The sequence below is a fragment of the Homo sapiens genome, chromosome 1 (genome assembly GCF_000001405.40).
Source record: "Homo sapiens chromosome 1, GRCh38.p14 Primary Assembly".
In the NCBI taxonomy this organism is placed as follows: Eukaryota; Metazoa; Chordata; class Mammalia; order Primates; family Hominidae; genus Homo; species Homo sapiens.
Genome location: NC_000001.11, coordinates 20,917,966 through 20,933,971, shown reverse-complemented (window position 1 = coordinate 20,933,971; position 16,006 = coordinate 20,917,966). Strand labels below are relative to the sequence as shown.

General features: G+C 38.8%; 1 protein-coding gene and 2 long non-coding RNA genes across 66 annotated transcripts in view; 1 reads left to right on the top strand and 2 right to left on the bottom strand.

Annotated features, from left to right (window-relative positions):
• Window positions 1–16,006, top strand: part of EIF4G3 (eukaryotic translation initiation factor 4 gamma 3) — a 370,606-nt gene that overhangs the window by 242,926 nt on the left and 111,674 nt on the right. The gene's annotated exons all lie outside the window — the stretch shown is intronic.
• On the bottom strand, window positions 1,336–14,701 carry LOC105376829 (uncharacterized). 2 transcript variants are annotated; one of them, XR_947039.3, is made up of 4 exons: window positions 14,663–14,701; window positions 5,838–5,929; window positions 4,174–4,239; window positions 1,336–1,374 (listed from the first exon to the last, which is right to left on the bottom strand). It is a non-coding gene; the product is annotated as an uncharacterized LOC105376829 (long non-coding RNA). The 2 variants fall into 2 exon arrangements; XR_947038.3 differs by lacking the exon at window positions 14,663–14,701 and adding an exon at window positions 6,679–6,837.
• LOC105376830 (uncharacterized) overlaps window positions 14,699–16,006 on the bottom strand; it is a 15,569-nt gene continuing 14,261 nt past the window's right edge. Inside the window, exon 6 of one of the 2 annotated variants that reach the window (XR_947042.1) lies at window positions 14,699–14,738. This is a non-coding gene — a long non-coding RNA (uncharacterized LOC105376830). Of the gene's footprint in view, window positions 14,743–16,006 lie in introns of both variants that reach the window. The other variant, XR_947041.1, reaches the window with a different exon arrangement.

Below are 16,006 nucleotides of genomic sequence, written 5' to 3'. Positions count from 1 at the left end.
TCCCCACATTTTGGGAGGCCAAAGTAGGATTTCCAAATTTTTATCTCTGTCCCAACTCCTCCTCTAAACTTCAATCTTAAATTTCCAATTATCTGACAAATATCTCCACTTGCAGAGTCATCTCAAATTCAGTACATCCAATACTAAACCAGTCACCTATTCCTCTAAACCTATTCTTTCATCTCAGGTTATACACTGGCTTTAATTAAACTAAAACCCTGAAGCCACTGTTGACGAACCTCCCTTTTGAGTCCCCTTTTTTCCCATCCAGTCATTTCACAAGGTGCCCTGTTTTTGTTTTTGTTTTTCCCCCCACAAGATAGAGTCTCACTCTGTTGCCCAGGCTGGAGTGCGGTGGTGTGATCTCAGCTCACTGCAACCTTCCGCCTCCCAGGTTCAAGTGATTCTCCTCCCTCAGCCCCCTGAGTAGCTGGGATTACAGGTGCGCACCACCACGCCCGGATAATTTTTGTATTTTTAGTAGAGACAGGATTTCACCATGTTTGTCAGGCTGATCTCAAACTCCTGACCTTGTGATCCACCCGGCTCAGCCTCCCAAAGTGCTGGGATTACAGGTGTGAGCCACCACGCCTGGCCGGTGCCCTGGTTTTATCTAATGTATTTGTGACATTTGTTCCCTCCTCTCCATTTCCTTCTTCCCCTGCCTTATCCCTGCACTTAGGTGTGGATGCTTGTCATTTCCTTGGTCCCAGTTTTGCCCCCACTTGAAATTGTTCTCCACCAAGTGGCCGAAATCATCTTTTAAAAATACAGATCTAGCTTTGTCACTCCTCTTTCACGTCTTTTTAAGCTCTTCAGGATGCTGTGAAGGATTGGGGGAAATATCCTGCAAGATGAACTCTAAACTTCTCAAGTTTTACCACCAGGTCTTCTGGTATCCATATCCTCTCATACCTCTGCATCGTCAGCTACAGTAATCCACCAGTGTTCTAGAAGCCTGGAGATTATTTCAAAAGCGCCATATAGTAGGAGTCTTCTGAGTATACGGGCATACCTCATTTTATTGCACTTCTCTTTATTGTGCTTTCACTGATACGGTTTTTTTTACAAATTGAAGGTTTGTGGTAACTCTGTGTTGAGAAAGCCTGTTAATGCCATTTTCCAACAGCATGTGCTCACTTCCTGTCTCTGTCACATTTTGATAATTCTCACAGTATTTCAGACCTTTCATTATTATAGGTGTTATAGTGATCTGTGATCAGTGATCTTTGATGTTACTGTTGTAATTGTTTTGGGGCACCACAAACCATGTAAGACGGCCAACTTGATCGAGAAATATGTATGTTCTGACTGCTCCACCAACCGGCAGTTCTTCCATCTCTCTCCCTCCCTCTTCTTGGGCCTTCTTATTTCCTGAGATACAACAATATTGAAATTAGGGTATTAATAACCCTGCAGTGACTTCTAAGTGTTCAAGTGAAAGGAAGAGTCATACGTCTCCCGCTTGAAATTAAAAGCTAGAAATGATTAAGCTTAGTGAGGAATATGTATCGAAAGCTGAGACAGAGTGAAAGCTAGGCCCCTTGAGACAGTAAAGTTGTGAATGCAAAGGAAAAGTTCTTGAAGGAAGTTTAAAGTGCTACTCCAGTGATCACACAAATGATACAAAAGCAAAACAGCCTTTTTGCTGACATGGAGAAAGTTTCAGTGGTCTGGATAGATCAAACCAGCCACAACATTCCCTTAAGTCAAAGCCTCATCCAAAACAGTGCCCTAAGTCTCTTCAGTTCTGTGAAGACTGAGTGAGGTGAGGAAGCTGCAGAAGAAAAGTTTGAAGCTAGCAGAGCTTGGCTCATGAGATTGAGGAAAGATGTCATCATAACGTAAAAGTGCAAGGTAGAAGCAGCAAGTGGTGATAGAGAAGCCACAGGAAGTTATCCAGATGATCTAGCTAAGATAATTGATGATAGTGGCTACCCTAAATTACACATTTTCAATATTTGTTGAAAACCAACAGATACTGATATTGTAGATGAAACCGCCTTATGTTAGAAGAAACCATCTACCTACTTTCTTTTTTTTTTTTTAAGACAGAGTCTTGCTCTGTCTCCAGCCTGGAGTGCAGTGGCACCATCTTGGCTCACTGCAACCTCCGCCTCCCGGGTTCAAGCGATTCTTCTGCCTCAGCCTCCTGAGTAGCTGGAACTACAGATGTGCATCACCACACCCAGCTAATTTTTGTATTTTTAGTAGAGACAGGGTTTCACCATGTTGGCCAGGATGGTCTCAATCTCTTGACCGCATGATCTGCCCACCTTGGCCTCCCAAAATGCTGGGATTATAGGAGTGAGCCACTGCGCCTGGCCCCATCCAGCACTTTCACAGTGAAAGAGAAGGGGAGAAGTCAATACCTGGCATTAAAGCTACAAAAGACAGGCTGACTCTCATTAGGGGCTTATGCAGCCGGTGACTTCTGTTTGAAGCCAGTGCTCATTTACCATATGGAAAGTCCTAAGGCCCTTAAGAATTCTGCTAAATCTATTCTTCCTATGCTCTATAAATGGAGCCACAAAGCCTGGATGATGACACATCTGTTTGCAGTGTGGCTTACCGACTCTTATAAGCCTACTGTAGAGACCTACTGCCCAGATAGCAAGATTCCTTTCAAAATACTACTGCACATTGGCAACACACCTAGTAACCTGAGATCAAAGAGTAATTTTGACTTTCAAGCCTTGTTATTTAATAAGTACATTTTGTATGTCTATAGCTGCCATAGATAGTGATTCCTGTGATGGATCTGGGCAAACTAAAAACCTCCTGGAAATCTGATTTGTTCGTGGCATTTGTTCCTTCCTCTTCATTTCCTTCTTCTGCCTTAGTTAGCCCTGCACTTATGTGTGGATGCTTGTCATTTCCCTGGCTCCAGTTTTGCCCCTACTTCAAATTTATTCTCCACCAAATAGCCAAAATAATTTCAGCATTCTAGATGCCATTAAAAACATTTGTGGGTGCAGTGGCGCACGCCTGTAGTCCCAGCTACTCAAGAGGCTGAAGTGGGATGATCATTTGAGCTCAGAACTTCAAAGTTCATCTGCACAAAAGAGGAGACACCTCAGCAAGATTCCTGTCTCTTAAAAAAAAAATTGTAATTCATGGGACAAGGAGGTTAATATATCAACATTAATAAGCATTTGGAAGAAGTTGATTCTAACCTTCATGGACAACTTTGAGGGGCTCAAGACTTCAGTAGAAGAAGTAAGTGCAGATGTGATGGAAATAGCAAAATAACTAGAATTAGAAGTGGAGCCTGGCTAGGCATGGTGGCATGTGCCTATAATCTCAGCATTTGGGAGGCTGAGGCAGGAGGATTGCTTGAGGCCAGGAGCTTGAGACTAGCCTGGGCAACATAGTGAGACCCCATCTCTAAGAAAACAAAAACATAGAACTAAAGCCTGAAAATGTGACTCAGTTACTGCAATCTCATGATAAAACTTGAATGGATAAGGAGTTGCTTCTTCATGGGTAAGCAAAGAAAATGGTTTCTTGAGTTGGAATCTATTCCTGTTGAGGATACTGTGAACATTATAGACATGACAACAAAGGATTTAGAATGTTACATAAACTTAGTTGATAAAACAGCGGAAGGGTATGAGAGGATTGGGTAAAATGCTATCAAATAGTATCACATGATACAGAGAAATCATTCATGAAAGGAGCAGTCAAGTGTTGGAGCAAACTTCATTGTTGTCTTATTTTAAGAAATTGCCACAGCCACTCTCATGCCTCAGCAACCACCATCCTGATGAGGGCAGCAGCCATCATCATCAAGGTAAGAACCTCCACCAACAAAAAGATTACACCTTGCTGAGGGCTGAGATGATCATTAGTATTTTTTAGCAATAAAGTATTATTTAATTCAGATAATATGCATTATTTTTAGACATAATGCTATTTCACACTTAATAGACTACAGTTTAGTAGAAACATAACTTTTATACGCACTGGGAAACCAAAAATTTGTGACTCGCTTTATTGCAATATTAACTTCATTGCCATGATCTGGAAACAAACCCACAATATCTTCAAAGTATGCCTGTGCCTACACAGGCATAGGATCTGAATGTAGTTTTTCATGTATTTGATTAAACACTGGCAGTAAAATTTAGTGGTAAGATCAAAGCAACAGCATCAAACACTCCTGAGTCTTACCCTTTTTCCTTGTCTATCTCTGTGACCATGGGTGAATTTCCTAACCTCTTTGAGTCTGTTTCTCATCTAGAAAAATGAAGATAATAATAGTATTTACATTATAGAATTGTAAAGATAAAATGTGATGTATGTAAAGTACTTAGCACAACATCTGACACATATTAAGCACTCTGAATGTTAAATAATATTGATAATTCTATTTTCAGCTTGTATTAAGAGCCCAAATGTTCCCTTTGAACTCTGCTAATACACAGAAGAGTTGGATATCATGATCTTTGCCCTGAGGAATTTATCTTCCAAAGAAAGGAAGCTCAAGGAGTTGATACCTTCTGAAATGTTTTTAATAAAATCTGGGACATGAGATGGTGGAAAATCCCTTAGGATAGGCCGTTTGCATGTATAATGTTGATTAAAAGTTTTTGTACCCATTATGTCATTTATCTTCACAGTAGACACATCTCAAGGTGACCTCTGCTGTGATTGGTAAAGGAGAAGGCCTCCTTAGAACAGTGAAGGAAAATCTGTAGTTGAGTTGAGGATGGTAATACCATCATTAACTTCCTGCTTTGGCAGGAGTGGAAAATTAGGAAGAAAGGCAAAGAAAGCTCAGAAGAATGGGGGGGAAAATGAATAGGGCAGCCATAAAGTGGTAACAACCCAAATCAGTTTATCAACTGATGCATGAATAAACAAAATGTGATATATACATACCATGAAATATCGGACCATGATAAGGAATGAAATTCACATGGTGTACAATGGATGAACCTTAAAAACATTACGCTAAGTGAAAAAAGTCACAAAAGACCACATTTTATATGATTCCATTTGTATGAAATGTCAGGAATAGGCAAATCCATAGAAGCAGAAAATAAATTAGTGCTCACCAGGGGTTGGGGAGAGAAGAGAGTGGGGAGACGGTGCTAATACATACCGAGCTTCTTTCTGGGGTGATGAAAATATTCTAAAGTTATATAGTGGTAGTGGTCACACAACTGTGGTTATACCACAGACCATTAAATTGTATAGTTTTAAAAGGTTAATTTTATGATACGTAAATTATATGTCAACAAATATTACATATATATTTTAAAAAGAGGGGCCTGGCGTGGTGGCTCACATCTGTAATCCCAGCACTTTGGGAGGCCGAGGGGCGGATCACGAGGTCAGGAGATCAAGACCATCCTGGCCAACATGGTGAAACCTGTCTCTACTAAAAATAGAAAAAAATAGCCAGGCATGGTGGTGCACGCCTATAGTCCCAGCTACTCAGGAGGCTGAGACAGGAGAATCTCTTGAACTCGGAAGGCGGAGGTTGCAGTGAGCCGAGATCACACCACTGCACTCCAGCTTGGACAACAGAGTGAGACTGTCTCAAATAAAAGAAAAATGAGTATGATATGGTGGTGCCACCAGCATCTATATAAGGATTTGCTTAGGGAAGTTATAGCTTAGAAATTGAGGAAGTAAATTTCAACAAGAACACCACAATTGACAGTATCGGAGATACAGGAGTATTTGTGTACAGCCAAAAATTATATCATCTTTTGACACATGCTATTGTTGTATAAATAAATTTATACAACAATTACTTATATAGTGTATACATAAAAACTGTATTGTTTTTATTCTGTCTTATTACTTTACTACTAGTTAAATTTTACCTCAGTTTGAGAGGGTGTTCTCAGCTTGGTATTGAATGTACCACCTGTAGAGTTCAAGACCAGCCTGGGCAACATATGGAGACCTTTCGTCCCTACAAAAAAATAAAAAATTAGCCAAGCATGGTGGTGTGTGCTTGTAGTCCCAGCTACTCTGGAGACTGAGATGGGAGGATTGCTTGAGCCTTTGAGATTGAGGCCGCACTGAGCCATGTTCACACCACTGCTCTCCAGCCTGGGTGACAGAGTAAGACCCTGTCAAAAAAACAAAACAAAAAACACCTGTAGCAATCATTCTAGAGGCATTGCTCGATGTCACAGATATGAAATATCCAGTTGGGCCGGCAAAGCAGAGTGGTTCTTCATGATCAGAACATAAGGGATCTGTGTTTTGGAAGTAGTGATTCTGCTGTTTCTTTGTTTGTAACTTGGTCCCTTATGTTTTTGGCCCAGTTCAGCCACCCTCTGTAACTCTTCCTTCAACTCTCCTACCTGAGACCCTTCTGGATCTGTCTCTTCTTTCCAGCTATCTAACCATTCATTTATTCACCCATCTGTTCAATCCCCATTTCTTTTCACTCCATTTCACAGACTGTCATTATCTTACACCTCAGCTATTACAACTCTGCTTTCAGACTTCTCTGGAAAAGTAAAGTGCACATTTTCCAGAAAATTCTTTCAGAGAAAATATTGCTGCTGGATGCCAGATATCTGTCTAAGACCTGTAGAAATAGTCGTTTCAAGGGTACAAGATCCAGGCTCCCAGATTAGCCTTGAAACTATCATTATTTCATCCTAGCTTTGCTTAATATTATTTTTTAATCTTTTTGCAAATCTCCCACACCTGTTTGATGAGTGTTAATTCCTGCATTGTTTCCTTGATGCTGTCTTCAACCTAGACCACATTAAGGAACCTGCTCAATTCAGTTAGCTGGGTGTGGTGCCTGGCACCTGTAATCCCAGCTACTCAGGAGGCTGAGGCAGGAGAATTGCTTGAACCCAGGAGGCGGATGTTGCAGTCAGCCGCAATTGCACCAGTGCACTCCAGCCTGGGCAACAGTGAGACTCCACCTCAAAAAAAAAAAAAAAAAGTATTTTTTTCAATTTTTCAATATGACTCTATTCACAAGGTTTTCTATTCTGATAATTCCTCGAACCCTTAAACATATAATTATGTCAATTTAAAATACTCGTAGTACTTTATGCATATTGATATGTGTACATTTTACCTCTCCAACTTCTTTTACATCTCCAGGATTAGTAAAGCTTTTATTTTTCTGTTATCCCCGAGAGCTTTTATTAAATGTTTATTTACTCATTTCTGCAAATGTATAGATTTGTGTTGTTTTTGTTGGGTTTTTGTTTTGTCTTGTTTTTTAGGGATCTGATAGTAACAAATCAGGTATATTTAAAATCACCACCCTGGTAAGAAAAAATTGTAGTTTTTTTTTTTTTTTCTTTTCTTTTTTCTGAGACAGGGTCTTGCTCTGTCACCCAGACTAGAGTGCAGTGGCATAAACATGGCTCACTGCAGAGTTGACCTCCTGGTCTCAGTCTTCCCACCTCAGCCACCTGAGTAGCTGGAACCACAGATGCGTGACACCACACCCAGCTAACTTTTTGTAGAGATAGAGTCTCGCCATATTGCCCAGCTGGTCTTTAACTCCTGGCCTCAAGCAGTCCTCCTGCCTTGGCCTTCCAAAGTGCTGGGGTTACAGGCATGAGCTACCATGCCTGGCCTGTTGATTTTAATAATAGTAGCTATCATTGATTAAATGCTTGCTATTTATTAGACACTGTGGTCAGTTCTTTAACCCTCACAACAACTCTTATCCTTACTTTACAGAAGAGGAGAATGAGGCATGGAGGAGATGATACTTGCTGAAGGTTATATAGTTAATAAGTGGTAGAATCAGAATTCAAATTTCAACTCTACAATTTATACTCATAGCCACGTCTTTATAATATTGCCTCTCAAATTAAGCTACATATCCTGTAAATAAATCTTAGACTTCAGCATTCAAAAGTTAAAATCATTTAAAATAGTTCTTACTAAAATAAGATATTTTTATATGAAAGATGAATATATACATAAAGCTACAGCTGGATAAACAGGTAGATGATAACAAGGGATACAAAGTCAAATGTGCTCACCCTGAATAATTAGGAAAAGCAAAAAGCACAGAATGTATCTTTCCCAGTTCATTAGTTAATACCTCTCTCCAAGTTTCTGCCAATTCCAGAATTCATGCATGTAACCTCGGAATCACCTTAATACTTAATGCAGTGTTTAAGAAATAAAAGTAGGCTGGCTGCTGTGGCTCACACGTATAATCCCAGCACTTTGCAAGGCTGAGGTGAGAAGATCACTTGAGGCCCAGAGTTCATGATCAGCCTTGGCAACAGAGAGACCCTTTCTCTACAAAAAATTTAAACATTAGCCAGGCTTGGTGGCGCATGCCTGTAGTCGCAGATACTCAGGAATCTGGGACAGAAAGATTGCTTGAGCCCAGGAGTTCGAGGCTGCAGTGAGGTATGATGGTGTCACCACACTCCAACTTGGGCAGCATAGCAAGACCCTGTTGCTAAAACGTATAGAAATAAAAATAGAAGTCATTATTTATGTGATAGCATTCAATGAGATGATTAATAGCATCCAAAAACTATTAGGGCTTTTGTAACATAATACCGTTATTAATAGTTGTCATTCATTCAACAGGTATTTATTGAGTCCCAGACTGTCATAATTTATATTAGTTTTTAACAGAATTCAAATAAGATTTGAGTGATATTTGAAATATTTAAATCAGTATACCTGATCATGTAGGGAAAACCTCCCTTTGACATGATATTATACACTGATGTTCCATAAATTGTATAAATCATGAATAACCCCTAAAACATGGCTTTTCTGTATATCTTACAAATGAGTTTTACTCTAATTTTAAAGCCATACCAAGGTGTAAAACAGTACGTATAGTATAAATAAAGGAGAAACCTGTATGCACATTCACATGTATAATGCACACATATATGTGCTTGCATATACACCAGTATTTTCTGAGGATAAGTAGGAAATACTTAATAATGATTTTCTCTGGGGAGAGAGACCTAAGAGCAAGATGGGGAAGACAAGACTTTTTCAGTTTTTCCTCGTTTGTTGTGAAATCTTTTTGTTCATATGAATTACTTTTGTCATAATTAAAGCCAGAAGCAAGTTTAATTATAAATTTTGCAGTAATATGTGTCTTAGGTCTCATTCAAATAATAATTTTCGGGTGGGTGAGGTGGTTCACACCTGTAATCCCAGCACTTTGGGAGGCCAAGGTGGGCAGATCACCTGAGGTCAGGAGTTCGAGACCAGCCTGGCCAACATGGTGAAACCCCATCTCTACTAAAAATATAGAAGTTAGCCAGGTGTGGTAGTGCACGTAGTTCCAGCTACGCGGGAGACTAAGGCAGGAGAATTGCTTGAACTGGGGAGGCTGAGTTGGCAGTAAGCCGACATCGTGCCACTGCATGCACTCCAGCCTGGGCGACCAGAGTGAGACTCCATCTCAAAAAACAAAACAAAAAGAACAATTCTCTCATGATTTATCTGATATATGTGAAACATAGATTGTCAAATTTCGAAAGGTACCTACCAGTCTGTTTTGAATGATTTCTAATATTCCTCAAGATTTGCAGTGCCTCACTTCTTATTAATATCAGTTATTCTTCAGTAATATAAATGCGGAGAACAGAAATATTTCTTAAGAATTTATTTTTTGTATTTCTGATACCATTTGTATCATGATGTTTTCATTAGAGTGCAGAAAAATTCCAGTTTTTTTGGATATAAGATTTAGTATTCAGTTCAACAAACATATCAGCAGATAAAGTTGGAATAAATAGATGCTGACAGTTCTTTAAATTTCAATAACAGACTCTAGATCTTCTCTAAAATGTCATGTTAAAATGAGTTATAAATTAGAATACCCTTTTGACTGCCTATTCTCCATATTTTGGGACACATTAGAGAAGATATTCAAACTGGAAACTGTCATGGAAAACCAAGAAATATGAATGACTTAACCATGAGTTTTTATGATGTGCCAAAAGAGATGTGATAAATCCATGCTTCACTATGTTTGGTACAAAATCCAGAATTAAATTGGTTAATAGATTGATTTCATTTGTTCTGGCAATGCTAATTTATATCTACCATGTGACAGGCCCTTTTCTGACCTCTAGCACCACAGAGATGAATGAGGCAAAGTCTTTTTCCACTGAGAACTTGATAATTTTGTAGAGAGACAGATAAATATATATATATATATATATATATAGGGATGGGTAAGGTGAAGAGAGGAGGGAGGAAGTGATGGTCCCTGTTAGAGTGTATTTTTTATTATTCATAGTAGCTCCCACATATTAAGGTTAAAGCAAATTTCTCTGTGCTTTGCAGTCTGGTAATGTAGACTCACTGATGGTCAGATGGAAAGTAGATTTTTTTTTTCCATCTAGAGTTATATATTCGAGGCAGTGAGCTGTAGCATTTTATTTGGAGATGAAAAGTGTTGAGTAGGTGTAAGGGTAACTGTATTATAGTCTCTTTCCTAATTAAATTACATATTTGTGCTGTAGTGATTGACTTTTTTGCATCTGTACTAGATTTACCTTGAATTAAATTGCAGTCTTTTTTGATGATGGTAGAAGTGGTTCAAAAGTGTCTTATTAAAATGCAAAAGTGCCTAAAACACAGAGCAGTAAAAACAGAGGCCTAGAAGATATGCCAGTGGTCTCATTGGAGTCATCTTTGTTCTCAGTGTCGACAATTGCTTAATGGACTGTCCTCCACTGAACTTTTTGGAGCAAACCTACTTAGTGTCACTTTGCCATTTTATTTTTTTAATGACATACTGTGCTGTTGGGGCAACAAACTGCACATCCTGTCATGCTACAAAAGCAAAAGACAACTTTAACCAAGATAAAAATGAAGCTGGAATTCAGGCAAGAAAGTGAAGGATAAGGCAGACTTGAGAGGTGGGGTATTGAGTGGGGAAGCGTTTTGAAGTTAGATCTGTGTTTCAGTTCTAGCCCCAACCTTTACTCTCTGTAAAGGGGAAACTTATAATCTCTCTGTTCTTCAGTTTCCTCATCTCTGAAATGGGAATACTGTAATACTACCTACACAAAGAGATTTAACCAGTATTGTTGTTCTAGAGAGACATTAACCTTGGGTTTAATTTTGATTGCAGGTCATTTATTCATTAACAGATTTGCCAGGCACTGTATTGGTTGCTGGGTAGATTGAAGAGACCAACAAAATACAATCCTTATCCTCAAAGAACTCAAACCCTAATAATTATTCTTAGCTTGTATCCAAGTCTTTGATTGTGTAGAGTAGCAAGGGTGCACACTAAGTGGGTTGGTAAAAATGTTGAAACTGTAGAGCAGTAAATGGGCCTGATGTTGACCAAAAGGTAAAAGCCAGATTTCTAACTTTGCTGTGTATCAGAAACCAGAGAAGCACATGTTCTTAAATAGGTAGACCTTGAATGCTGGACGTGGTGGCTCATGCCTGTAATCCCAGTACTTTGGGAGGCCCAGGCGGGCGGATTATCTGAGGTTGGGAGTTTGAGACCAGCCTGACCAACATGGAGAAACCCCATCTCTACTAAAAATACAAAATCAACCGGGCGTGGTGGTGCATGCCTGTAATCCCAGCTACTTGGGAGGCTGAGGCAGGAGAATCGCATGAACCCGGGAGGCAGAGGTGGCGGAGATCACGCCACTGTACTCCAGCCTGGGCAACAAGAGCAAAACTCCTTTTCAAAAAAAAAAGAGATAGACTTTGAAGCTAGTAGTAGAATCATTCTCATGCAAGTGAATTTACGTCAAAATTTTTGGATTTAAGTGGCACTTTGATAAGTATTTGAGATACCAAAAATTAGAGTTCAGTCAAGAGAAATTGATGTTTGAAACAAGATAGAGAGGTCTTCAGATTCTAAGAAGTTATGTTCGATATGGAAATAGGAAAAGCAGGACTTGGAGACTGATACGAATATAGGCCTAAGAGAACTTTTCAAAAAGAGTTTGTATCAGACAATACCAATACCAAATGCTGCAAAAATACTTGAGTGTAATGGTGAATTGAAAGGATGTTGAATTTGTGATAATTTTGTCATTTACTACTCTGAGACAAATTCCATCACCTAAGCAGATATAAGCACCAAAGATTTGGAGAAAGAATAGTGAAATCAAGAAAATAAAGATACAGGTATGTCCATGGCAGGGCAGAAGCCTGGGGATGTCAAAATACACACTGGACCTGCTGAAGCATGATGAGAAAAGCAGAAGCAGGTGCACGTTTTCTTCTACTTTCCATGCCACTTTGGAAAAGAGTCCAAACATTTAGCTAAGCGGGGGCTTTTAGGCTGCATACTTAAGTAAGCATTATCTCCTCACCTGGCAATATCAGAAGCTGGAGTATAATGACAAAAAATTGAATTCAACAGTATTCTTCCAGTTTAGCATATATGGCTGTGGAATCACCAGCTCAGATCTTGGTATAATTTGAGGGTCTGGTATCTAGTCCCTGGTACAGATGTCTCACATTGCAATCCTGTGACATAATCCATGACCTTAAAATCATGGTTTGGAATCCAACAGCTGTTCTTTCGGAATGGTCAAGGACTGAGGTCAGTTTATATAATGAGGCACACTGTTGGTTAAGCTGATACACCGCTTCAACACTGCATTCAGATTAATGGTTTCTATTGAGCCACTTCTTTTCTCTTTGCCTAACCTTGCATCAATAGCACAATTACCTTCGTTACTTTAGTTTTATAATATCCTAATATTACAAGCCCACTACCTTTAAATTCTACATCAAAATTGTATTGGCTTTTCTTGGCTTTTGCTTTTTCATTTCCAAATAACAACATATGGAATTGTTCTCTGCACAAAATAGGTATTTGATCAACGGAAAAATTAGAAGATTTTTTTTCTTTATGCATATGGTATATTTAGGGTTTCATATAGATTAACAATTTTCTTATAAATGTTTACATCACATAATTCTTAGAATTTTCAAACACACCCAAATATAATTTATACATAATTTTTATAAACAGTTCTATTATATAAAATAATTATTGCTGTTCAAATGAGTCAGTTATGTTGTTTGGAGGAGCAACAGAGAGGCAGACTTACTAAAATATATTTTAGCAGAAAAGGTTTTGAAAATAATATTGGGACTTTAGCTTTCTCTATAAATGGATGGTTCCTGCATTTACTATCAGGAAACCTGGGCCACTGCCATTCTGAAACAGTATTTCTAGAGAGTGACCAAAGAGAGTTGGTGTAAAAATCCTAAAGGCCCAGAACTGAGGTTAATGGGGAAAAAAAACCCAAGCTCTCGGTGGAAGTTTTGGTCAGAATAGGAGATGAAACAGAGTACAGTGAGAATCAGGTAGCTTCTGATCAGTAAGAAAGTCTACCATATATGTTACTGGAATTTTTAAGCCTCTTTCTCTTAGAATTCTCTCAGTTCCTATTACATGGTAGATTAATCGAAGAAAGTCATTCTGACTTCCTGTTCTTGGCAGTAGGAATCACCTTTCTCACTTAAAAGCAGAGAACAAGCCTAATATATTCTATTATTCTATTCTCTCTTCTATCCAACCACCAGTCATAATGTGATAATAATTTTCAGTTTTAGTTGTTGCCCTTTCTACTTACTTTTGTGCCATAATGATGCCTTATTAATAGGCTATCTCATATCTTTACTAATAAAAAAGAATGTGAATAAAATATATTAAATCAAAGTTTGCTTGAAAATTTACAGGAATTTGTCTACTTGAAATATGTGATTTAAAACATAAATTGCCTATTTTAAAAACTTAGTTAAATGTCACTATCAATTTTATTTGTACAATAAAATATCTCGACCGGACGCAGTGACTCACGCCTGTAATCCCAGCACTTTGGGAGGTCGAGGCGGGCAGATCACCTGAGGTTGGGAGTTTGAGACCAGCCTGACCAACATGGAGAAACCCTGTCTCTACAAAAAATACAAAATTAGCTGGGTGTGGTGGTGTGTGCCTGTAATCCCAGCTACTTGGGAGGCTTAGGCAGGAGAATCACTTGAACCCGGGAGGTGGAGGTTGTAGTGAGCCCAGATTGCGCCATTGCACTCCAGCCTGGGCAACGAGCAAAACTCCGTCTTAAAAAAAAAAAAGAATTATCTCCAGAGGGCTAACTGAAGTCATCACAAGAGAAAATAACATTCTGACTTTGGTGTCTTTAGAAGGATAGCCTACATCATTACAACATTCTGATTTTCTTCTCTATAAAAGGGTCTCTAAAAAATAGTATTGCTTCGTGATTCTCAAAATTCATAGCTAGAGTAAAATAGCTGAGGAGAAACATGCCAGATCATAGGCTTTGTAGACGCTGTGTCTCCCTTCTAATTTACTTTATGATATATATTAAAGGCAAGAGAAAAAAGACTTTTCCTTGCCTTAATTTCAGATTAGTTAAAATGGATATTTTCTTTGATTATTTTTTCTTTTGGTATTGTTTTCAAAGTTAGCATATATTGATTAGAGAAAATTCAATATAAACTGATGATGATAAGAAAAATATGGGGTCAGGCTTGGTGGCTCACACCTGTAATCCCATCACTACGGGAGGTCAAGTTGGGTGGATTGGTTGAGCCCAGTAGTTCAAGACCAGCCTGAACAATATAACGAAATCCTGTCTCTACAATACAAAAATTAGCCAGGTGTGGTGGCATGCACCTGTACTTCCAGCTATACGGGAGGCTGAGGTGGGAGGATCACCTGAACCAGGGAAGTTGAAGCTGCAGTCTGCCGTGATTGAGCCACTGTTCTTCAGCCTGGGCGACTAAGTGAGACCCTGTCTAAAAGAAAAGAATAAATAAATGTTGGGTTTTGTCTTGGCAGAAAGGAAATCAAAAGACAATATGTATAAGTTTAACCTGTCTGTAGGAAAATACCTGTCGGTTAAAAAGAAAACAAAGCATCTAATAAAAGATTGGATAAAGGATGAGAATAGGAAATTCACAGAAAAGAAAGAACAAATAACCAAAAACAAAAAAAGGAAAAAATGCTTAACCTCATTAGTGAGTGTAGAAATAGCCCATTTAAGCTATTAGTTTGCCAAATATAAAGTACTTGTGAGAATGGAGAAAATCCAACACACATTTATTTGTGAGAGGAGTATGAGTAACCTTTGTGGAACCAAATCTGACAATATCTATATTTGGAAATAAAATTACTAGTATAGGCTGGGTGCAGTGGCTCAGACCTATAATCTCAGCTGCTCAGGAGGCTGAGGCAGAGGATTACTTGAGCCCAGGAGTTGAAGACCAGCCTGGGCAACATAGTGAGAACCTGCCTCTTTAAAAAAAAAAAAAAAAAAAAAAAAAGATACTAGGAGGATATATTTAAAAGTTTTCGTGGTAAGAAAAATAGCAAAAACGTAAGATTTTTCAAAAGAAATGTTGCATACTAGTATTTGCATAATGACTACATGCTAGGAGGGATTTTAAGTGAAAATAAAGCATGTTGAAGAATAACTCATATAGTTATGACCCCATTTTTCTGTTTAAGATAAACTTGTGGCTAGGTGCTGTGGCTCATGCCTGTAATTCCAGCACTTTGGGAGGCTATGACGGAAGGATTGCTTGAGGCCAGGAGTTCGAGACCAGCCTAGGCAACATAGGGAGACCCATCTGTACAAAAAAACAAAAATTAGCAAAGTGTGCTGGTGCGTGACTGTGGTCCCAGCTACTCAAGAGGCCAAAGCAGGAGGACTGCTTGAACCCGGTAATTCAAGAGTGTAGTGAGCCGTGACTGCGCCAGTGCACTCCAGCCTGAGCCACAGAGAGATACCCTGTCTAAAAAATAAATAATAAACTTGTATATAGGGTTGTGATTATTTGTATGAGCCATGATGGTGTAGAAGACTATATATCAGACACAGAGTGCTGAGGCAAGGTTCACCTCAGGCAAGTAGAAATGGCTAGTTGGGAGAGAGGAATATTACCTTTGTTTAAGTGGACACATTTGTCATTAAAAACAAAAAGTAAAAGATAAAAGGCAACAGAAATTAGGAGGAAGAAAAAAAGCCCTTGGAATCCCACTACTTAGATGTACAGATTA